The 25,990-nt window shown below is 37.7% G+C and overlaps 1 protein-coding gene and 1 pseudogene across 2 annotated transcripts in view; one reads left to right on the forward strand and one right to left on the reverse strand.

Annotated features, from left to right (window-relative positions):
• EDIL3 (EGF like repeats and discoidin domains 3) overlaps positions 1-25,990 on the reverse strand; it is a 444,327-nt gene that overhangs the window by 356,483 nt on the left and 61,854 nt on the right. The window lies entirely within an intron of this gene.
• Positions 18,569-18,654, forward strand: LOC124901223 (uncharacterized; annotated as a pseudogene).

Raw genomic sequence — 25,990 nt, forward strand, 5'->3', positions numbered from 1 at the left:
CTGGGTATGGAAGGGGGTGCCAATAGTCCCAGCTACTCAGGAGGCTGAGGCAGGAGAATGGTGTGAACCCAGGAGGCAAAGCTTGCAGTGAGCCGAGATTACACCACTGCACTCCAGCCTGGGCGACAGAGCAAGACTCCGAAAAAAAAAAAAAAAAAAAAGACACCATTAAAAAGTGGGTAGAGGACATAAACAGACACTTTTCTAAAGAGGACATATATGCGACCAACAAACATGGAAAAAAGCTTAACATCACTGATCATCAGAGAAATGCAAATCAAAACCACAATGATATATGATCTCATGCCAGTCAGAATGACAATTATAAAAAATTTCAAGAAACAACAGATGCTGATGAGGTTTCAGAGAAATAGGAATGCTTTTACACTGTTGGTGGGAATTAGTTCAACCATTGTGGAAAACAGTGCAGCAATTCTTCAAAGATTTAGAACCAGAAATACCATTTCTTGGGGTGAACAGACCCAACATCAGGTCGTGGGGGTGACGAATTCCGGCAGAGTCAAAGGAATGAGAAAAAGTCAGTTTGAGAGAGAAAAGTGGGTCCAGGGGACCATCGGGAGTTTATGGAGGCTGAGGAGGCTGAGAAGCCCCCGAGCTCTGGGAGCCCATGCTATTTATTGGTAATCCAACAAAGAAACAGGTGGTGAGAATGTGGGAATCAAAAGGGCCTGTTGCATTAAGGACATGATTTACAGCTGTGATGGTTTAGCAGTTTCTCTGCTACTTGAGATAATGGAGAGCAGGTTCTTTTAACTCAAGATACAGTCGATCCTGGGAGAGCAAGAAACAAGGAGCCAGCAAGTCTAGACACATTCCAGAGCCACGAGCCCTGGATTCTATCCAAGCCACTACAGATTTTATGCCCTGGGCTTAGATTATGGTGCATCAGGGTAGCCTTCCACCCTTTAACACAGAGCTTGGTGTTCCCAAAGCCCTCAAGGGGTTTTAGACCCCGGACCCCAGACATGTTCCAAGACTCTTTTACATTATGTCAGACATGCAAGCCCTGCCTCAGCTTCTCCCAACACTCAGCTTTTTCCAACACCATTTGAACCAGCAATCCCATTACTGAGTACATACCCAAAGGAGTATAAATCATTCTATTATAAAGATACATGCACGCGTGTATTCCTTGCAGCACTATTCACAATAGCAAAGACATGGAATCAACCCAAATGCCCATCAATGATAGACTGGATAAAGAAAATGTGGTACGTACACACCATGGCATACTATGCAGCCATAAAAAGGAATGAGATCATGTCTTTTGCAGAGCCACTGATGAAGCTGGAAGTCATCCTCAGCAAACTACCACAGGAACAGAAAACTAAACACTGTATGTTCTCACTTATAAGTGGGGGCTGACAATGAGAAGACATGGACACGGGGAGGGGAACAACACACACTGGGGCCTGTCAGAGGCTTGGCAGAGAGCATCAGGAAAAACAGCTAATGCATACTGGGCTTAATACCAAGGTGATAGGTTGATAGGTGCAGTAAACCACCATGGCACACGTTTACCTATGTAACAAACCTGCAAATCCTGCACATGTACCCTGAAACTTAATAAAATAAAAAAGAAACTTCTCACCAGCCTCCCTTCTCACCCACTTAAATGTGGCAACTGGCTAGATTACTACAGGGAAACTGCTCTTGCCAAAATCATATATAATCTCCTTATTGTGAAAGCGATGTCACACCTTTGTTCTCCTCTCAAATTGAACAAAATTGACTTCTCCATTCTTGACAACACTCTGTTCCCTTGGGTGCCACCATCCACAGGGTTCCTCTCTTATCTGATTCAATGCTGATTCGGTCTTTTGTGGTTGGGGCGCATCAAGGATCAGCCCTGTGGCTGCTTCTTCATCCTCTACTACATCCTCTCTAGGCCACCTCACATAGCCTCATTTGCGAGCTGCTTACTGACTGCTCTAACATCTTTAATCTCCAGCAAAGAAGGGAGCCATAACCCGCAGCTAAAACTGAAGACCTGGTGCTGAGAAATGAAATACTGTGAAGGACAACTTGGTACAGAATATTCTGTAAGTAGGTTGCAGTGTAGGTAAGAGAGGACTACCTCTGGAACACACCACGAGGACAGGTATAATCCCCATTAAACATAATAGGAATCCAATGACCAAAGTTGTTGAGCTAAGAGATAGTGGTATATACACATTTTTTAAAAAAATGATATAGGCTAATATCGAAAGAAGGAGCATGGAACTGGAAGTACCTAAAGAGCAGAATGGGAGTGTTCCCTCTTTTAGGACTCTCAGCATTATTTTTTATATTTTCTTTAAGCAACATGCATTATTACTTGAAGATATATGTAACCAATTAATGCAAGTATAAAACTCTGAAAATGCTTTCTTTCCTGAGATCCCCACTCCTCATAGATCCCTACAAACTTTTATACTGTCATTAAAGCTTCTCCAGCAGTTCTACCTCCTTAAATTACCTTTTTTCCCCCTATAATGGAAAAATCTTTTCTCTAACTTTTAAATTTATCCCCCACTGTCCCAACATAAACATAAACTTATATTCAATTGTTTCATTTTTGTGACTGTAATTATTGTTTTGTCCTTTTCTAAGTAGTCTCAATTTGATCTAGTTTTCATATGTACAAAGTTTCATTTTTCTTGGAGTTAGTAATTGCCTTTGTTTTAATGTACTTAATGACCTTTGTATGTATGTACATATGTATGTATAACCTCTATTTCAGTTAGATCTTAGAATGGATAGGAGGTGAACATATCTGATCAGTTAGCCACCTAATAAGTACCAATATTTTTGTTTGCCTGTAGAGCAATCATTATCAGCCCATAAATGTGGAACATTCTGAGTATCATAACATATTTGAAACTTGTGTTACCACATAAAATATGTATATTTTAAAAATCTACCATGTCTAGTCTGAATTTACCAACATTCCCAAGTATTAGTTTTCTAATGCTGTCATATCAAATTATCATGAACTGACTGGCTAATAACAAACATTTATTTTACTACAGTTCTATAGGCTTGACGTTTGGCACAGTACTCACTGGATTAATATCAAAGTGTCAGCAGGGCTGCATTCCCTTCTGGAGGCTAGGGGGAAGAATGTGTTTTATTGCCTTTCCATCTTCTAGAGGCTGCCTGCATTTCTTAGCTTTTGGCCCTCTTACATCAGCAACCTTGCATCTCTTTGACTATTCTCCCATAATCACATCCCCTCTCCTCTGAATTGAATTCAGGTGGGAATGGTTCTCTGATTTTAAATACCCAGGTGCTTAGGTTGGTTCCACCTGGATACTATAGGATGGTCTTCTTATCTCAAGGCCCCTTAGCCTTAACGACACCTGCAAAGTGTCTTTTGACAAAGGAAATAACTATTTGCAGTTCCCCTGCATTAGGAAAGATGGGCACATCTTTAAAAGACCATTATTCTGCCTACCACATCTACTATCATGTTGCAATCTTATCTATAAAAATGTTTAACAACACTGGATATGTTATATTCTCTGAAAAATTATTTTATTTCCTAAGTCAAACATCTATAATAAGTAATCAACTATGATGATACAGAAAGTGAAATGCATATTCTAACAAATAGCACAGAAATTCATCCTTAAGAAATATTTGTTAGTTAAGAATGACTATAAATAATAATTATATAAGTGCTTCCATTTATAATTGCCTCAAAACTACACTCTTAGGTAAACTGTATCTTCATACATAAACAAGGAAATAGACAAGGTTATGTAACATGATTAGAATCACAGAATTCTTAGATTGCAATATTTGTATACCATCATTAAGTGGTAGAAGCTAAACTAGACCTAGAATTTAGGTATGCTGACTCCAAGCCAAATATACATGCACACACAGACACATACACACACACACACACACACGTCTCATAAAATATTTTAAAAATTGTACAGAATCAGCTGGGCGCAGTGGCTCACGCCTGTAATCCCAACATTTTGGGTGGCTGAGGCAGGTGGATCACCTGAGGTCGAGAGTTCAAGACCAGCCTGACCAATATGGAGAAACCCCATCTCTATTAAAAATACAAAATTAGCTGATGTGGTGGCTCATGCCTGTAATCCCGGCTACTCGGGAGGCTGAGGCGGGAGAATCGCTTGAACCCTGGAGGCGGAGGTTGCGGTGAGCCCATATCATGCCATTGCACTCCAGCCTGGGCAACAAGAGCGAAATTCTGTCTCAAAAAAAAAAGAAAAAAAAAAAAGAAAGAAATGTATAGAATCATATGGAATCAGAAGTTAAAAAAAAAGTCAAATGCAAACTCCTGAAGCAAAATGAATTCAACTGCATGTACTATAAAAGATAGTTATTATGACAGGACAAATTTTAGACTTGTCAATCTCAAAATAATCCTGTTAAATCAAGTCCTATGTAATGGAGCATATTCTTATTCTTTTAAGCCTTAGTATTTGCTTGCTATCATGGGCGAAATACAGAAATGGAATGGTCAGCTCCTTCTTGCTAAAGTATGTCAGCCTCCATCTTATTATATAATCACAATTATCTTTATTTTGTCAAAAGCCTGTCATACTTTTAGTAAAGAATGAAACTATGGCTGCACAGTATCATGCTGCAGGCCACTGTGACTCATGACTTTGGAAAGCAATCATTAATCAAATAAATTTAAAAAACAAGATTCAAGCACTTCTGTTTGTGATGAGTTTTGCTTCTCCTTTTAAGGAATATCTCAGTAATTCCTTAGAACTGACTGGTCCAAAGTAAATAGAAAAGAGGAAGATGAAAAAGAAACAGGAATTCTAAGTATTTCTTCACCTAGGTTCAGATGTTTATATTTTTGCGTGATTTTTTTTCCTGACTAGAACTTCCAGAGTTTTCATCATATTATCAAAGTCCTGTGGGACACAGGAACTTAAAATCTATCTTGTGCTGACTTTAAATTGTTGCAGAGGCCAACATTAAAATAATGTTAAAAACCGATAAAAATATTTTTCTTTATAAAGAGTATTGACTATACACGTATATAGAAAGTATATCTTATACAAATCTGTCTCAAAAATCAGTCATTTAATGCAATTATAAACCTTACTGGTAATGCCTTGAGAAAATTAGTATTATCATGGAGCTTTCAATTTATTCTTTTATCAGCTCCATGTTAATGTTTTATTGCTTTTTTTTCTGCAGCTTACATTAGCACATTCATAACTAGATATGCTTTTTTAAATTCACGATCTCAATTATTTTATTTTATTGTTATTATTATTATTTTGAGACAGAGTCTCACTCTGTCGCCCAGGCTAGAGTGCAGTGGCACAATCTCGGCTCACTGCAAGCTCTGCCTCCCGGGTTCACGCCATTCTCCTGCCTCAGTCTCTCGAGTAGCTGGGACTACAGGCGCCTGACACCACACCCAGCTAATTTTTTGTATTTTTAGTAAAGACGGGGTTTCACTGTGTTAGCGAGGATGGTCTCGATCTCCTGACCTCGTGATCCGCCTGCCTCGGCCTCGCAAAGTGCTGAGATTACAGGCGTAAGCCACTGCGTCCAGCCCCAATTATTTTATTTTAAATGGAACCCTTATAGCCTTACAAGGTTTGGCATGGGTTTATCCTCTTCATTTCCCAAAAATGTCCATGAAATGTTATTTCCCAAAGTACTTCCTGTATTATCTATCTCTATTAAATGTTTTCTTTCCAGATAGTATCATCGACTTACTTGCTGGTGATTTGGGGCCCATGGAAACAATAGTAAAAACTAAAGTATTCAATCAAAGTAGAATGTGGAAAATCCTCAAAATTTATAGAGAAGACTGAGATCATCTAGCAGAAATAGTAAAAATATTTCATTCATTGCTTCCTATGTGATTTGCATTGTCTTCATGATGCTTACAATTTAGTTCAGAAGTTCCTAATTGAATCAAAATCAGAGAGAGATAGGTAGCTTCTGTTCTAAAGAGAATCATTCCACCTAACTTGGGATCTCATTCCTTGTTGTATCTAGAACATATCTTTGAGCCATTGGTTCTATCCTTTGTGTAATCTCAGAGAGTGGATCTGTACACTTGTCCTTTGTCCAAGTTGTCATTTTCCATTTTGTTTCAGTTATCTACTCTCTGCTTTCTTTCTTAGCTGTTTGGCCAGAATGCCCTCCACTCCGACTTCTCTTTACTATGTGTGATAGCTAAGAAATAGCTGTAGTATATTTGGAGTATTCTTTCTGTCACTTATGTTCTGGCTTCACAGTCATGACATCCCACTTGAGGGTAAAACACTAGCAGAACTAGAGAACCGAGAGCTACCACCACACCTGCAAAGCTGACTGCACTACTCATCCTCCCCTTGCTTTCCTAACCTGCATTCTAGCCATGCATAAACATGATAACAACTTTTGAAGTATAGTACTGTAGACTTTTTTGTCTTTTCCATTTTCCAAATTGTTAATCTGCCAACAAGTTGAATTACATTCATGGATTAGTCATTTACATGGATTAGTCATTCTGATTTCACGCGTACTAGTCTGCACTCCCCAATGAATTTAGAGATTAAAGGCAATGTGGGCATATAGAAAACAGTCATTATATTATTATATTTTACATTTGTGTTGAATAATTTTTAATTTCAAAAGTTAATAGTTAAAAATTATAGTGAATTTTCTAACAGTACAGAACAGTATATACAACATTTTGAATTCTCTTTTATTCTTCCAGCTCTTTAATTCCACTTCCCGGAGGCATCAACTTGAACAGCATGTCTCTCTCTCTCTCTGTGTGTGTGTGTGTGTGTGTGTGTGTGTGTGTGTGTGTGTTTGTGTGTGTGTGTGTGTGCATGCATGCCCACACATGTGTCTATGAATAAGTATTTGGGTTAAAGTGGATCATGCTATATATACCGTTTTACAGCTAACTTTTCCATTCTACAATATATTGCGAGAATCTTTCCATATCAATCCATATAAATTTATAATATTATTTTTAATGATTACAGAGTAATATACTCATTGGTGTGCACAAGCCACAATTTATTTAAACAGTTTGTGACTTTAAATGGTTTTTGAGAAAGCTACTTACTATAATGGTAAATATATGAAGATACAGAAGTAGATGGTATAGTAAATAATATAGCTCATCCTATATCCTGTCTTCACCATTGAGTAACAGGGGTGTTTCCTAGGTGAAAGCTGAACTGGTAACAAAATCTCTGGTTTTAACATAATGTAACATGTCTGATTAAATTTTTTGGTATATGTGAATAGACTGACAGGAATGTCAAGCTTAGGGTTTTCAACTCAAAGTCACCTAGGGTGCACCAAAATTGTGTGAGCTGGAGTATGGAGCTTTCTCAATGTGTTACAGAACATCTAGGGCATTTCTGTCATTTAGCTGACATGCACGACGGACCACAAAATGGTGAATGTCAGCTTGCATTTTGTAGTTTTGAACAGGCAGCCTCTATTCCACTTCTCTTGCTTTAATGAAGTTGACACAAGAATTCTAGAGAAAAAAGTTCTAGTTCTATGCATCCTGAATGAGTGTTTGAAGGTCAATTTTAGAACTTATTGTTACAAAGATCAATTAAGTATATGAGGTGAAATTATGTTTTGAATGTCATATAAAGGATCTGATGAATGATACATATTGTCTTGGGATAAGCCTAATCAAAATCCATTAATTGGTTTTACATATTTATGACTAAACCTTTGAAAAAGTTACTTAAAGGTGAACAAATCTAAGCAGACAAATACAACAATTGGATGCAAGCCAGGAAATCTTGAGCAAGAGGAAAACTTTCACTTTTTAAAATATAAAACTAAAGCCCTCACTTTATATGTGATGGCAATGCTTTGGAAATATATAAAAAGCAAGGATCTCCCTCAATAAAAATAAGTAAGTAGAATCTTCATCAATATAATCCCAGAGACAGGAAGATAGTTATTTTAATGTGATTTATTTAGCTAAAAGTAAATGTGAGGCTCTTGAGAGGGCAAACCACTGCATTAGAGAGTGATTTGGAACATTTTTTGCAAACTAACAGAATAAAATCAACTTCGGTATAAGAAGGTAAATAAAATCTAGCAGCCAAAGATAAAAATAAATCTAGAATTAACAAATCCAGGGCTTAAGCAGTAATTAAATAACCCAGATTTCACCCTTTTGTGATAGAACAGGTACATTTAAATGCTATTAACACTTTTTTTAATTCCATTGATTTCTCCATGGATACATATGTGAACAAATATATTAACCATCTCTTTCCTCTCAAATGGTAAAACTGTTTCTTTGGACCACTGTGCAACTAGTTTCTGGACCTACCATGTGTAACATTTGTTCCACAAAATTTAGTTCTTACCAGGTTTTTTGTAATCACTCCCAAAGGCTCATGTTAGTTCTATTGTCATTGATCCCAGGAGCCTTTTTAGATATAGGCTGTAATCCACTAGCTAAACGAAGCAAGTTTTCTCTAAAGCTCTCAGCAGAGTTTGATTTGGTGCTATGTTGCACAATTCCAAGCTGTGAGTTCTCCTGCTTATCAGTTAAAAATTAACTTTAAGATACAGGCCGAGTGCGGTGGCTCACGCCTGTAATCCCGGCATTTTGGGAGGCCAAGACGCGCGGCTCACAAGATCAGGAGACGGAAACCATCCTGGCCAACATGGTGAAACCCCGTCTCTATTAAAAATACAAAAAATTAGCCAGGCGTGGTGGCACGTGCCTGTAATCCCAGCTACTCGGGAGGCTGAGGCAGGAGAATTGCTTGAACCCAGGAGGCAGAGGTTGCAGTGATCCAAAATCATGCCATTGCACTCCAGCCTGAGCGACAGAGCAAGACTTGGTCTTAAAAGTAAATAAATAAATAAATAAATAAATAAATAAATAAATAGATAGATAAATAAATAAAATACACTGTGTGCATATTGTCCTTACTTTCATGTCATGTCCCCCCAGATTCTCTGATCTACAAATGAACAAATTCCTGTTCAGTCTTAAGGAGAAAAAAAAAAGTCTCTCCTTTAGGGATGAGGGTTCTATTCTGCCTAGGTTTCTAACTTTTTATGTAAAAGCATCAACGCATACTCAGGAAATTAACCTAGGAATAGTCATGAATGAGGCCTTCTAGCTATATTTTTTTCACTGTTGGTGGAGAAGTATTAGAATCAACTGTCAGGTAAGAAGGTCATTGGCTTAAGCTAAGCACTAAGCACTGGCTTGAAACAGAGGAGACCAATCACAGCTGCAACCAGCCTGAAAATGCATTTGGTGTGTATTCCTTTAAAGTCATAACATTTGGTTAATTTTAGAAAAAGGAACAAATTGAGGTTTAATGTTCATAATATATTTTTAAAAGTAGGACACACTTTATTAATAATACCATACTGGTAAATATTATTGTTATAAATAATGATGATTTTTTCCCACCTTCTGTGAACTAAATAGAATTTTCCCTGGGATCTGGGATTATGGCAAGTGGATGAATTCTATTCTACAGGCGAATTAACTACCACTGTTTCTTGACCAATACTGTTCAGATGGTATCAGTAAGTTTTAGAGCTTACCAGGTTTGTACTAAATCATGAGTCAAGTTTCAAACACAAATCAATTTCTAGTGAAAGCAATTCTGTCCCAGTGCCTCTGTTTTATTATTTTGTGATATGAAGATTGATAGCCAAAACTTTTAGAGTTGTAAAGCATGCCCCCTGAATAAGTCATTTCCTAAGATGATTTAATCAGCAGCTGTATCTTACGGAAAGTCACACTTTCCAAACTGAGCTGGTGATTATGCTTGTGCACTGGCTTTAAACCCCACCTTCACTACTCACCAGCTATGTGACCTTAAACAAGCATTTTGCCTCACTGGGCCTTATATAAAGTGATTCATGTAAAATGCTTCACACAATACTTGATACACAGTGAGTACTCAATAAAACTTAACTATTATTCATTTATTATTCCAGTATAATCAACTAACTACCAAGTGTCCATTTCTTGTGTACAAGATGCTAGAGACAGAAAAGACATAAATGATACTATCACAAAAGATATATGATCTAGTTAGGAAGGTACAATTGAAGAATGAACAGAAACGCAAGTGCACATCTGAAAATAAAAGATAAGTCATTCCAAAGTGAGTGATAGGAGAGAAGTAGGGTTAGTCAAAGAAGATTTCATGGAATAAGTGAATCCAATCCGCATCTTAAGTTAAATGAAGACTGCAGGCTAATGAAAATTGGGGAAGATGTTCTAGGCAAAGACAAATAAAAAAGTCACAGTGAAGAAAATTAACAACATGGGATGAGGAAGTGTGGTGCTGAGGTAATGTAAATAAGAGAAAATAAAGATGCTCCACAAAAATAGAAGAAAATAAAGAGGCCCAACAGAAACAGAGAGGTCATTTGCAGGAATGTTATATAAGCTGCAGTAATTAGGAAAAAGAAACTAGACAACTGCTACAAAAATAAACAATAAAAATCAGTATAGTTTCTGGGAAGAGAAAAATAACTTGTCAAAAATTACATTTGAAACATTGCGCCAGCAACTGTAGGCTGCATACATTGGGTCAAGGAAATACCAGAAGCACAGAGGTGGCAGGTGAAGTTCTTCAAGCAAACGAACTCTCTCTGAGGGAGTTATTAAAGGAAATAAAAGCAGAGAGCAAGGCCAAACTTGATGAAAGTCCACAATTAGCTGCAGCCTGTACAAGAGAGATATAAAAAATACAGGAGGAGAAATGAGAAGAAGGGGCATAATAAAGTACAGAAGAAAGTCTGGTCTCTAATGCACAGAGCAATGAAAAAATTGAGAAGAATATGAATTAGAAGGAGGGGGAGGCAAATTTGGGTTTGAAAATAGTTACTAGGGTAAAAACTGAAATCAGAAGGGTAGCTTGATGCCAGATCATGTAGAACTAGATCAATGTAGGATTCCTGCATTGTCCTTTTACTCAGTAAAAAATCTGAAGCAATCATGATTGGGTCTATATTTTAGAGATATAATTCTGCCCAACAGTATAAAGAAAATAATGAGGACAAAGCAAGTTGAAGGCAGGGAGATATTTAAGGGATCACCTACAAAACTCAGTGTGAGAGAAGTGGACATAGGAAAGAAGAGAAGAGGAATTTAAGAAAAATCTGAGATGTAGAATCGATATGATCTAGTGGCTAACAGGTCCTCTTAATTGCTGGTCTTTATTACAAATAAATTATCCAGTTTGGGCATAAAGAGGAAAGATTACAAAGCATTTGTTTTGAAAACGCTGAGTGTGAATGGCCTGGAGGATATGCAAATAGGCAGATACTAACTGGTATCTGGAATCTGGAAGAGAGAAGCAGTGATTGTTTGTAGGAAAGACTGTAAACCTTAAGGTGACATGCACATATAAATATTCCTAATGTGTCTAGTTACCCAAAGAAAGTATTTTCCTAGTCTGCTGTACAGCAGTTTAAAATAGTGATCATCTTAATTGTAATTGGCTTTTATATGATGGGTACATGCTATCTATTGTATTTCAAGTTAATTCAATTTCATTTGGAAGAATTGTTATTTCCTTGGCCATGTACAAAATTAAATTTAGTACTCTTTCTCAGGAAGTAATTTTTAGAAATATTAAAATAAAACAGACAGTAAATTATTAATCTGTGATTCAATTTTATAAAACAAAAATCTATCTGAACAAGATGAGTCATAATGTTATGTGTAAAACTAAAAACATTTTTAAATAATATCATTTGTATAAAAAGATCAATTGGTCTGATACATATTTGATTGTAATTTTTAAAATTTAAATATGTTTCTTTTTACAGCAGTATATTTTTCAAACAGATTCCTTAGGAGATTTAATGCAACCTTATGATCACGGAAGTGGCGAAAATTCCATCACCAATCACTCAGTTACTTCATTTGGGACCCATGACAAATAGTTGATTAGATTTTTACAGGATATATTAAAGGATACTGTCGAATTTCTTTTCAAAGTTTATATAAAGATACAGAACTCAATACAGTATAATGTACTTACATTTCCTCTCATGAGCTGTGAGTCTGGTGCTACATATTGAGGACACGATTTTTAACTTTAAAGCTCAAACTCCTATGGCATAATTATGTTGAAGATTAGTATCTCATGACAGAATTTCCCCATTTATCCTCTCTTCTCCACAGAAATAAAACTTTTCTTTTTGTAATTAATTGTTGGGGGTTTTGTTTGTTTCTCAAGCCAACAATGCTATCTTTCTTTGGTAGTGATAAATGTTTTTCCTCTTTCTTTTTTTTTCTTTGTTTTTTTTTTTTTTTGGCGATTTCTTTTCTTTTTTTTTATTATTATACTTTAAGTTTTAGGGTACATGTGCACAATATGCCAGTTAGTTACATATGTATACATGTGACATGCTGGTGCACTGTACCCACTAACTCTTCATCTAGCATTAGGTATATCTCCCAGTGCTATCCCTTCCCCCGTCCCCCCACCCCACAACAGTCCCCAGAGTGTGATGTTCTCCTTCCTGTGTCCATGTGTTCTCATTGTTCAATTCCCACCTATGAGCGAGAATATACGGTGTTTGGTTTTTTGTCCTTGCGATAGTTTACTGAGAATGATGATTTCCACTTTCATCCATGTCCCTACAAAGGACATGAACTCATCATTTTTTATGGCTGCATAGTATTCCATGGTGTATATGTGCCACATTTTCTTAATCCAGTCGATCATTGTTGGACATTTGGGTTGATTCCAAGTCTTTGCTATTGTGAATAGTGCCGCAATAAACACGTGTGCATGTGTCTTTATAGCAGCATGATTTATAGTCCTTTGGGTATATACCCAGTAATGGGATGGCTGGGTCAAATGGTATTTCTAGTTCTAGATCCCTGAAGAATTGCCACACTGACTTCCACAATGGTTGAACTAGTTTACAGTCCCACCAACAGTGTGAAAGTGTTCCTATTTCTCCACATCAGTTTCACTCCATGTTATCACTGCTTCCCCTCAATTCCAGAGATGCCTTACAAATACCAAATAGAAAACCTCAGTTAAGAGAGAAGAATTTTCATGAAAAATTAATAACAATTCTGACAAAGCTACCACACATCTTAAAATGATACTCTAAAGTCATTCTCTTGACAAAATAACTGAACCTTGAAATCTACACATTCTTTTAGAAAATACTTTTCAGCTCAAAGTAACATTTAATAAATAGTTACTGTTACATAAAATGCTAATGATGACAATGAGGTCAGATTAGAAATCTTCAGATTAATGAAGGTAATTTATCCAAAGTGTGAGAGAAAATAAAAATATTTTTACACGTGGGGGGAGGTTACCTTAGGGCAATGTTAAGTTTCGAGCCCTGCTGTCATTATGTTAAAACCATGTATTCTAAGAACAGTATGTTCCTTTTCCTTTTTGTTAAGACTGCAATTTTTAAGTCATTTAAATAATTCACAGAAAAAAATAGTAATCTTAAAAATTAATTCTAGTATGCCCTAGATGACAGGCAAGTGTTGAAAAAATAAATTTCTCATCTAAGCACTATGAGTGACATGACCATCTGGAGCGCTAATTCTAAATCTTCTGAGATCACAATTAATTTTTCTTTATCCTTATACAAATATTTGCTGTGTCCTAAGGTCTTGCTCACCCAGAGCCTCTGTCCTTGTAGGTCATTTTTTAAAATAGATATACACACCCAAACCTCACTTTGGTTGAGTTATAACTTACATACAGTAAAGTACACAAGTCACGCGTATGGAGCTCCATGTGTACATATCTATGTACCCCTAGAGCCTCCTAGATTAAAACATAAGTCATTTCTCACACTCCACAAAGCTCTCCTGTGCGCTTACCCAGTCAAAAATCAACCCTTGAAGGTAACCACTTTCCTAGCTAGCATCATCACAGGTCACTTTTGCCTGCTCCTGGATTTCACATGAATTGAATGTATTCTATCATGTCTGTTTTTTTTTTCCACCCAACATTATGTCCATGAGATTCATCAATATCATTGGATGAAGTAGTTTTCCTTCATTTCTGTATTTTCTTGATGAATATGCCAATTTATTTACTCTTCTTGTGGCTGATGGTCATTTGGTTATTTCCGGTTTTTTAATATAAATAATGCCACTATAGACATTTTTTATAAGCAACTTATTTTTAATTGCTTAGTTTTAGGTTACATGTATGTTAGTTAGTGTGTTAACTTATATTAGCTTCAGAAGATGGTAACACACAGCTTCCCAACTGGTAGTACCAATGTACCCTCCCACTATTCAATGTATTTTCTTTTTTTTTTTCTTTTTTTTTTTTTTTACATGCAGTATGATTTATTTTATATAATGTTCAAAAGCTTGCAAAAACAGCATATTGTTTACAGATGCATATTTTGGAGGTAAAATTATGAAGAAAAGCGAGATCATTATAAACAAAATTTAGGAGGGGGCTGGGATGGAGAAGGGCATGCAAAAGGGCTTTAACGTGTTGGTTGTAATCTGTATCTTAAACTGGTTATGGGTAGTAGGGTGTCCAGTTTTTTTTTTTATTTTTTTTTTATTGATCATTCTTGGGTGTTTCTCACAGAGGGGGATTTGGCAGGGTCATAGGACAATAGTGGAGGGATGGTCAGCAGATAAACAAGTGAACAAAGGTCTCTGGTTTTCCTATGCAGAGGACCCTGCGGCCTTCCGCAGTGTTTGTGTCCCTGGGTACTTGAGATTAGGGAGTGGTGATGACTCTTAACGAGCATGCTGCCGTCAAGCATCTGTTTAACAAAGCACATCTTGCACCACCCTTAATCCATTTAACCCTGAGTGGACACAGCACATGTTTCAGAGAGCACAGGGTTGGGGGTAGGGTCACCCATCAACAGGATCACAAGGCAGAAGAATTTTTCTTAGTACAGAACAAAATGAAAAGTCTCCCGTGTCTACCTCTTTCTACACAGACATGGCAACCATCCGATTTCTCAATCCTTTCCCCGCCTTTCCCCACTTTCTATTCCACAAAACCGCCATTGTCATCATGGCCCGTTCTCAATGAGCTGTTGGGTACACCTCCCAGACGGGGTGGTGGCTGGGCAGCGGGGCTCCTCACTTCCCAGTAGGGGCGGCCGGGCAGAGGCGCCCCTCACCTCCCGGACCGGGCAGCTGGCCGGGCGGGGGCTGACCCCCCCACCTCCCTCCCCGACGGGGCGGCTGGCCGGGTGGGGGGCTGACCCCCCCACCTCCCTCCCGGACGGGGCAGCTGGCCGGGCGGGGGCTGACCCCCCCACCTCCCTCCCCGACGGGGCGGCTGGCCGGGTGGGGGGCTGACCCCCCCACCTCCCTCCCGGACGGGGCGGCTGGCCGGGCGGGGGGCTGACTCCCCCACCACCCTCCCGGACGGGGCGGCTGGCCGGGCAGAGGGGCTCCTCACTTCCCAGTAGGGGCGGCCGGGCAGAGGCGCTCCTCACCTCCCGGACAGGGCGGCTGGCCGGGCAGGGGGCTGACCCCCCCACCTCCCTCCCGGACAGGGGTGGCTGGCCTGGCGGGGGGCTGACTCCCCCACCACCCTCCCGGACGGGGCGGCTGGCCGGGCGGGGGGCTGACCCCCCCACCTCCTTCCCGGACGGGGCGGCTGGCCGGGCAGAGGGGCTCCTCACTTCCAAGTAGGGGTGGCCAGGCAGAGGCGCCCCTCACCTCCCAGACGGGGCGGCTATTCAATGTATTTTCTATTTAGCATTTTTGGATCCTTTTTGTAATTAAATTACAATTTTTGTCAGCTGTACATAAAATAATCCATCAAAGTGCTCTTCTTTTAAGTTAGGGTGCCTCTTTCCTCATCAAATAAATGACTTAAATATAAACACAATTTTAGCATATAAGATGAAGAGTGGGAAATCCATAATTCAACATGATTATCAAATGTAATATTGGAATATATTGAATAAATATATTTTTAAATGTAATTTTAACAAATCTCAGAAAAGTGTTTTGAGTGGCATTCTGGTCCTGCCATAAAATTATGTAAGTTACTAATAGAAATGGTCTGGATTTTGTGACAGGGCCCACAATATTGAAAATACATCCACATATTTAAATGCATAGTTAAAATTAAGTAAGGGCAGATTCAAATTTCTTGTCACCATACAAAATACAGAAAACACCAAATAAAGATCTTTGCACTGCTGGTCAGGTTAAAAGACAGAACATGCCAATTTAAATTCAAATGGACCACTGCAGCTCCACATTACATTAAGGGGAAAAATAACCTAAGTCATCTTGCTATTATAGTTGCAGAAAATTTCATACATAAGTAAATGTTTCTTTAAGTTTATATGAAGACTATTGTTTTAACAAAAGCTTGATACAGCAAGAAAAGAGACTATGGCTTTGCTGAGAATCTGGGTCACAGAACATAAAACTCAGCCTGATTCTAAAGTAAAGGAAAAGAGCAAACGTGCAATAATGGAGAACATGGATAGAATCCTGTAGCTACCATGTACTAGTGGTATTAAGCTAGTCATTAAGTCTTCCTGATATTCCACTTCTTTTCCTCTACAAAGGATTATAATATCTACCTAGAAGACTATTGCGAGCATTAAGTAAGGTGGTAACTCCCAAGAGCCATTAGACTACCTGGTAGATTTCAGTGGGCTTCAATTACACATCAGTCACCTGGAAAGCTTTTAAAAATCCCAATGCCCAGGCCACATCTCCGACCAATTAAATCAGAATCTCTGTGGGTAGGACCCCAGGCACCAGTATTTCTTAAAGCTCCCAGGTAATTCTGAATTTGCAGTCAAATTGTGTATACTTAGAAGAGATCCACATACTAAAGGTATAAATAGAGAAGATAGGGCAGATACCATTTAGTGGAGTGCGGTAGTGGAGAAAGAAATGCAAAACCAGCCAGGTGTGGTGGCTCACACCTGTAATCCCAGCAGTTTAAGAGGCCAAGATGGGCAGATCACCTGAAGTCAGGAGTTTCAGACCAGCCTGGACAACATGGCAAAACTCCGTCTCTACTAAAAATATAAAAATTAGCCAGGTGGGGTGGCACCTGCCTGTAATCCCAGCTACATGGGAGGCTGAGGCAGGAGAATTGCTTGAACCAGGGAGGCGGAGGTTGCAGTGAGCCAAGGTTGTGCCATTGAAATCCAGCCTGGGTGACAACAGTGAGACTCCATCTCAAAAAAAGAAAAAAAGAAAGAAAGAAGAAGAAACACAAAACCACAGTGGGAATCAGGAGGCAGTCCGTACTATGACTTGGCTCAGATCATGGAGAAGAGGGTAGGAACAGCATGTAGTAACTCCAATGACAAATCTCTCCCATCATGACTTTGAATCACTCTGCTAGGTCTTTACAGTGTCAGAAACATCTGCTTTATCTTCATGCCCAATTTGCTTTATTCCTTTTCCTTTCTAATTTAGCATTTGACTTTCATAAAATGAATGCATGCAAAGGAAAGTCTATTTTAGGCTATGGAGAATCTTTTATTAATATAGATGTACAGAAATATAAGTTAAAAGGTTTCCTAGATTTCATAAATTTCACCATGCTAAAATTATTGGGCCAATTTACCTTTGCGGGAAAGAACATCAATCTTCCTTCCAAAACACGTTGAAGATAAATTGTCATAATTTAATCCTTTCCATTATAGCTCCCCTGTTCTATTATGTGAAATATTTAAAATATAATTTTTCTAAACTGTCCAAAATAGAATTATAGCCTATAAATTCTTACAAAATCTTCAAGACAACAAACGTTAAATTCCATGCCTAAGTTAATAAATATGTATGCTTATTCAATTTTTTAATGAATAAATCCCAGGAATCAAAGAAATCTTGAGAAAATTATTATGCTAACCCTATTAAGTAGCCCAAAAACTATTTAAAATATAAATATTTTTTGAATTTTATTATTTTTATGGTAGTTGTAGGAATAGGGTAATAGGAAGCATAATGTGTGCTACTAAGTGTTCACAATACATGAATGCTTTTCTTTTGCAATTTTTTATTTTATTATCCTTCTAGTTTAACAGAAGTTACAGTGATGACTACAAAAATAAAAGACAAATTGATCTATTTCCAGTGAATTTTATGAACTAAGGCATGTAATACCCATGATCCAATTGAAAATACTCATTATGTTTCTCAATGATTGAGATAATTGCCTGGACTCAACTCTGCACTTTGCTGCTTAGCTTATGTATAAATGATTTGAAATGTCATCTATAAGCTACCTCAAAGCTCCTATAATTATGAAAGTTTTATAATCATATCAGTTTAGAACTAGAGCAATCCAGAGAAATCATGTAGCTCATTCAACTCTTAATTCCTCAGATGAAAAAACAGATTTAGATAACCTAAATTTTCAATCATAACCAATTAGAGGTAGAGGAGATTAGCACCCAGGTCTCAGGCTTACAAATCCAGTGGTTGTTTCTTATATTATAGCATGATACCTTCAGTCATGCTAAAAATTTTTTTAAAAAAGATTTAACACCTCATTGATTTTAGCGTATCAGTGAAACTGAACAGATACATTGCTAATTAAAGGAATTTAATGTAATTAATATTTTTTAAAAAGTTGCCTGCAAGACTATACTTTCAGGGATCATTTCTATGGTTCATTACTAGGGAAGTTTCCCTGAATGTGTAGAGCACCGAAAACACTCTTCAGGATACTATCCAGAAGAATTTCCCCAACCTAGCAAGGTAGGCCAATATTCAAATTCAGGAAATACAGAGAACACCACAAAGACATTCCTCGAGAAGAGCAATCCCAACACACATAATCGTCAGATTCACCCAGGTTGAAATGAAGGAAAAAGTGCTAAGGGCAGCCAGAGAGAAAGGTCAAGTTACCCACAAAGGGAAGCCCATCAGACTAACAGCAGATCTCTCAACAGAAACTCTACATGCCAGAAGAGAGTGGGGGCCAATATTCAACATTCTTAAAGAAAAGAATTTTCAACCCAGAATTTCATATCCAGCCAAACTAAGCTTCATAAGTGAAGGAGAAATAAAAGGCTTTACAGACAAGGAAATGCTGAGAGATGTTGTCACCACCAGGCCTGCCCTACAAGAGCTCCTGAAGGAAGCACTAAACATGAAAAGATACAACCAGTACCATCCACGACAAAAACATGCCAAATTGTAATAACCATAGACACTATGAAGAAACTGCATCAACTAATGGGCAAAATAGCCAGCTAGCATCATAAAGACAGGATCAAATTCACACATAACAATATTAACTTTAAATGTAACTGGGCTAAATGCCCCAGTTAAAAGATACAGACAGGCAAACTGGATAAAGAGTCAAGACCCATCAGTGTGCTGTATTGAGCAGACCCATCTCACATGCAAAGACACATATAGGCTCAAAATTAAGGGATGGAGGAAGATCTACAAAGCAAATGAAAAGCAAAAAAAGCGGGGGTTGCAATCCTAGTCTCTGATAAAACAGACTTTAAACCAACAAAGATCAAAAGAGACAAAGAAGGGCATTACATAATGGTAAAGGGATCAATGCAACAAGAAGAGCTAACTATCCTAAATATATATGCACCCCATACAGGAGCACCCAGATTCATAAAGCAAGTTCTTAGAGACCTACAAAGAGACTTAGACTCCCACACAATAATAGTGGGAGACTTTAAGACCCCACTGTCAATATTAGACAGATCAACGAGACAGAAAATTAACAAGGATATCCAGGGCTTGAACTCAGCTCTGGACCAAGTGGACTTACTAGACATCTACAGAACTCTCCACCCTAAATCAACAGAATATACACTCTTCTCAGCACCACATCACACTTATTCTAAAACTGACCACATAATTGGAAACAAAACACTCCTCACCAAATGTAAAAGAGCAGAAATCACAACAAACTGTCTCTCAGACCACAGTACAATCAAACTAGAACTCAGGATTAAGAAACTCACTCAAAACCGCACAACTACATGGAAACTGAACAACCTGCTCCTGAATGACTATTGCGTAAATAATGAAATGCAAGCAGAAATAAAGATTTTCTTTGAAACCAATGAGAACAAAGACAAAACATACCAGAATCTCTGGGACACCTTTAAAGCAGTGTGTAGAGGGAAATTTATAGCACTAAATGCCCACAAGAGAAAGGAGGAAAGATCTAAAATCGACACCCTAAAATCACAATTAAAAGAACTAGAAAATCAAGAGCAAACACATTCAAAAGCTAGCAGAAGACAAGAAATAACTAAGATCAGAGCAGAACTGAAGGAGATAGAGACACAAAAAACCCTTCAACAAATCAATGAATCCAGGAGCTGATTTTTTGAAAAGATCAACAAAATAGATAGACTGCTAGCAAGACTAATAAAGAAGGAAAGAGAGAAGAATCAAATGGATGAAATAAAAAATGATAAAGGGGATATTACCACTGATCCCACAGAAAGAATACTATAAACACCTGTAAGCAAATAAACTAGAAAATCTAGAAGAAATGGATAAATTCCTCGACACATACACCCTCCCAAGACTAAACTAGGAAGAAGTCGAATCTCTGAATAGACCAATAACAGGTTCTAAAATTGAGGCAATAATTAATAGCCTACCAACCAAAAAAAGTCCAGGACCAGATACTTTCTATTTTGATAGAAAGTATCTCAAAATAAAAAGAGCTATTTATGACAAACCCAAAGCCAATATCATACTGAATGGGCAAAAACTGGAAGCATTCCCTTCGAAAACTGGCACAAGACAAGGATGCCCTCTCTCACCACTCCTATTCAACATAGTTTTGGAAGTTCTGCTCAGGGTAATCAGGCAAGAGAAAGAAATAAAGAGTATTTGATTAGGAAAAGAATAAGTCAAATTGTCTCTGTTTGCAGATGACATGACTGTATATTTAGAAAACTCCATCGTCTCAGCCCAAAATCTCCTTAAGCTAATAAGCAACCTCAGCAAAGTCTCAGGATAAAAAATCAATGTGCAAAAACCACAGACATTCCTATACAGCAATAACAGACAGAGAGCCAAACCATGAGTAAAGTACCATTCACAATTGCTATTAAGAGAATAAAATACCTAGGAATACAACTTACAAGGTATGTGAAGGACCTCTTCAAGGAGACTAAAATGACTGCTCAAGGAAATAAAAGAAGACACAAACAAATGGAAGAATATTCCATGCTCATGGATAGGAAGAATCAATATCATGAAAATGGCCATACTGCCCAAATTAATTTACAGTTTCAATGCTATCCCCATCAAGCTACCACAATTTTCCTCACAGAATTGGAAAAAACTACTTTGAATTTCATATGGAACCAAAAAAGAGCCTGTATAGCCAAGACAATCCTAAGCAAAAAGAACAAAGCTGGAGGCATCATGCTACCTGACTTCAATCTATACTACAAGGCTACAGAAACCAAAACAGCAAGGTACTGGTACCAAAACAGATATATAGACCAATGGAACAGAACAGAGGCCTCAGAAAAAACACCACACATCTACAACCATCTGATCTTTGACAAACCTGACAAAAACAAGAAATGCAGGAAAGATTCCCTATTTAATAACTGGTGCTGGGAAAACTGGTTAGCCACATGCAGAAAGCTGAAACTGGACCCCTTCCTTACACTGTATACAAAAATTAACTCAAGATGGATTAAAGATTTAAATGTAAGACCTAAAACCATAAAAACCCTAGAAGAAAACCTAGTCAATACCATTCAGGACATAGGCATGGGCAAAGACTTCATGACTAAAACACCAAAAGCAACAGCAACAAATGCCAAAATAGACAAATGGGATCTAATTAAACTAAAGAACTTCTGCACAGGAAAAGAAACTATCAGCAGAGCGAACAGACAACCTACAGATTGGGAGAAAATTTTTGTAATCTATCCATCTGACAAAGGCTAATATCCAGAATCTACAAAGAGCTTAAAAAAATTTACAAGAAGAAAACAACCCCATCAAAAAATGAGCAAATGATATGAACAGACACTACTCAAAAGAAGACATTTATGCAGCCAACAGACATATGAAGAAATGCTCATCATCACTGGTCATTAGAGAAATGCAAATCAAAACCACAATGAGATACTATCTCACACCAGCTAGAATGGCGATCATTAAAAAGTCAGGAAACAACAGATGCTGCAGAGGATGTGAAGAAATAGGAATGCTTGGCCGGGCGCGGTGGCTCACGCCTGTAATCCCAGCACTTTGGGAGGCCGAGGCGGGCGGATCACGAGGTCAGGAGATCGAGACCACGGTGAAACCCCGTCTCTACTAAAAATACAAAAAAAAAATTAGCCGGGCGCAGTGGCGGGCGCCTGTAGTCCCAGCTACTCGGGAGGCTGAGGCAGGAGAATGGCGTGAACCCAGAAGGCGGAGCTTGCAGTGAGCGGAGATCGCGCCACAGCACTCCCGCCTGGGCGACAGAACGAGACTCCGTCTCAAAAAAAAAAAAACAAAAAACAAAAAACAACAAAAAAAAAAAAAAAAAAAAAAAAAAAAAGAAATAGGAATGCTTTTACACTGTTGGTGGGAGTGTAAATTAGTTCAACCATTATGGAAGACAGTGTGGCGATTCCTAAATGATCTAGAACTAGAAATACCATTTGATCCAGCAATCCCATTATTTAGTATATACCCAAGGATTATAAATCATTCTACTATAAAGACACATTGCACACATATGTTTACTGCAGCACTGTTCACAATAGCAAAGTCTTGGAACCAACTCAAATGTCCATCAATGATAGACTGGATAAAGAAAATGAGGTACATATATGCCACAGAATACTATGCAGCCATAAAAAAGGATGAGTTCATGTCCCTTGCAGGGACATGGATCAAACTGGAAACCATCATTCTCAGCAAAGTAACACAAGAAGAGAAAACCAAACACCACATGTTTTCACTCATAAATGGGAGTTGAATAATGAAAACACATGGACACAGGGAGGGGAACATCACACACCAGGGCCTGTCAGGGGGTGGGTGCCTGGGGGAGGGAAAGCATTAGGAGAAATACCTAATGTAAATGACGAGTTGATGGGTGCAGCAAACCAACATGGCACATGTATACCTATGTAACAAACCTGCACATTGTGCAAATGTACACCAGAACTTAAAGTATAATAATAAAAAAAGAATACTGCACACCCCTCCCCCAAAAAAAATGTTGCCTGCAAGTCATTTTCTTGTAGGTTGGATCTCCTTTAAGTTCAATAAAGTATACTGATTGAGAGAAGTATTCTAAAGATGCTTTAGAAAAATACGTTGCTATTTACAATGTATTACTTAAATATATTTGATCCAGCAGCATTGACATCACTAAAAGATTGTTAGAAAAGCTGAAAGTCAGGGTGCACCTTAAATCCAATTAAACAGTATCTACATTTTAACGGCTTCCCAGGAGCCCTGGGAAGCTGTATATTCGCTCAAGTTTGAGAAGTATGGCAGCCAGCTCCAGCCCATCCAAGGAAAGGGACATTAAATACAATCTGGTCAGCAGGCCTCATTGATCAAACATGTCAGTTAGAGACCTGCACACTTAATGAAGATCTCATAGCTGATCTGAGGCTAAGTTAGAATTTAGGCATTCCAACTCTATACTATACCATGTTAGAGCATTGTGTGATACTTACTGCCCCAGAGCAAATCCGTTCCTCCATACAGATAGTATAAGAAGGGAAAGCAATCTACACTTCAGACTGCTGCAACTGTTCTGGTTCCAAGCCATCTTATACTAAATATAGGACTAAAACAAACAAACAAAGGGCCTAGCTTTCTTCCACCCAGGGATGCTAAAAGGAAGAAAAGTTAAGGCAGTTTATATATGCAATTGCAACATTTCTTGTGAGTGTAAGGTTTGCTGAAGATTTTGGTAGAGAATCTTTATCAATTTAAGAAAGAATTCCCTTTGATTTTACTTTGTGCTGAGAATTTTGTTTATAAATAATTACTTAATGCTATTAGATGATTTTCTGCAACGATTTTAGATATGTTTTTTCTTTTTAACATGTTAATATTGTGATCTGATTTTCAAAGTTTGAGCTACATTGTATTCATAAAATGAAATCATAGTGATATTTTCCTACATGTTTACCTTTTTATTTGTTCACTATTCCTTTGTGCAGAATTTCCTAACATTATTTTTTTTCTTCTGGAAATAAATAATTTAGGAGTACCCCTGGTGTATATCTGTTGGTGTTGAATTATCTCAGCTTCTGTTATTTTGAAAATATCTTTCATTTGTCTTTATTTGTGAGGGGCAATTTTCCTGGATATAATTCCAGGATATAAGTACTCTAAGCTCTTGAAAAACACAAGTTAGTGTCTTCCATCTTCAATTGTTGCCATTAAAACGTTAGATGCAGAGCAGCATTCTGGGGAGATAGTGGAGTAGGAAGCATGAAGAAACTGTCTCTGTACTTAAACAACAAATGCACTCTCAGAATGTTTGATGGAACTATTTTGGAACTATTGAGTCTATGAAAGGCTTGCAAATTCTGGTAACGCATCGATGGTAAATTTCAGCTCTTAGCACAATAGCAGCTCCTCATTCTCAACCCTCATCCTTCTGACGGAAAAATGTGCAGGGATTAGAAGAGCAGCTTGCACACAGCTTGTGGAAAGCAGGGTACCCTCAAAGCACTCTGTCCTCCAAATATTAGGAATCTGTGATCCTGTCAGTGATTGCTGCTTCTGATCACAGAGGTGCAGAAAAATGATGGGCAGCCATTTTGTTGCACTTTCCCCATTGTTGCCAATAAATTCCCCTTGAGACGAAGTGACTTTCAGAATATTTAAAGGACCACAACATCATCCATCCATTCCTCATTTCTCATTTTTCTATTTTTCCCATTTTTGCAGCAAGACATAGAAGGACAGGACATTGAAAAGCAATTTCATAGATGAAGAAAATTAGAAAGTGACCATGTATGCTGAGGAAAAGGCACAGATTCAGAAAAGACCTGAGAAGACCTTAAGTTTACACTTTGAAGTAATTCTCGTTATAAAGACAGCATGAAAATTAAACAATAATAATGATATAATAATAATAATAATAATAAGCAAAACACCCTGAAAAGGGGGGAAATGTGATTTCCAAATTTACTACATAATTAGATTCAAATGTCCAGTTTCAACAAACTTCACGAGATATTCAAAGAAGCAGAAAAGTATGACCCACTCAAAAAAAAAGAAAAAAGCAACAATAATTGACCCTGAAAAAGATCTAATGGCAGATATACTAGACAAAGACTAAGACAACTGCCTCAAAGATCCTAAATGGCATCTTTAAGATATGGAGTCAAGAAAATAATTTATTTAAAAAATGGAAATATCAACAAGGAGATGGGAAATCTAAAAAGAACCAAAAATACATTCTAGAAATGAAAAGTACAATAACAGAAATGAAAAATTCATTAGAAGTATCCAATGGCAGAGTTAAGTAGGCAGATAAAAGAATCAGCAAAGTCGAGGAAAAGACAATGTAAATAAGTGAGTCTGAATAAAATTTTTAAAAAATTTAAGAAAGGTGAACAGAACCTATGAAACAGAGTCAAGCATATTAACTTACACATTGTGGAAATCTTAGAAGTAAAAGAGACCTAGATGAAGGCAGAAATAACATTTCAAGAAATAATGGCTGAATATTCCTCAAATTTGATAACAGACATAAATGTAAACATCCAAAAGGTCGATGAACTTCAATTACAATGAATTCAAAGAGAACAATTTCAAAACACATTATAATAAAACTTTGAAAAGAAAAAGGCAAATAGAAAATTTTTAAGGCAGCAAAAAGCATTTCATCACGTACAAGGGATTCTCAATAAGATTGTCAGCAGATTTCTCATCAGAAACTATACAGACCAGAAGGCAGTGGGCGATATATTGAAAATGCTACAAGAAAAAAAATGTCAATCAAGAATCCTGTATCCTGCAATACTGTCTTCAAACCTAAAAGAAAAATTGACACATATCCAGATCAACAAAACCTGAGGGACC

The sequence above is a fragment of the Homo sapiens genome, chromosome 5 (assembly GCF_000001405.40).
Source record: "Homo sapiens chromosome 5, GRCh38.p14 Primary Assembly".
NCBI lineage: Eukaryota > Metazoa > Chordata > Mammalia > Primates > Hominidae > Homo > Homo sapiens.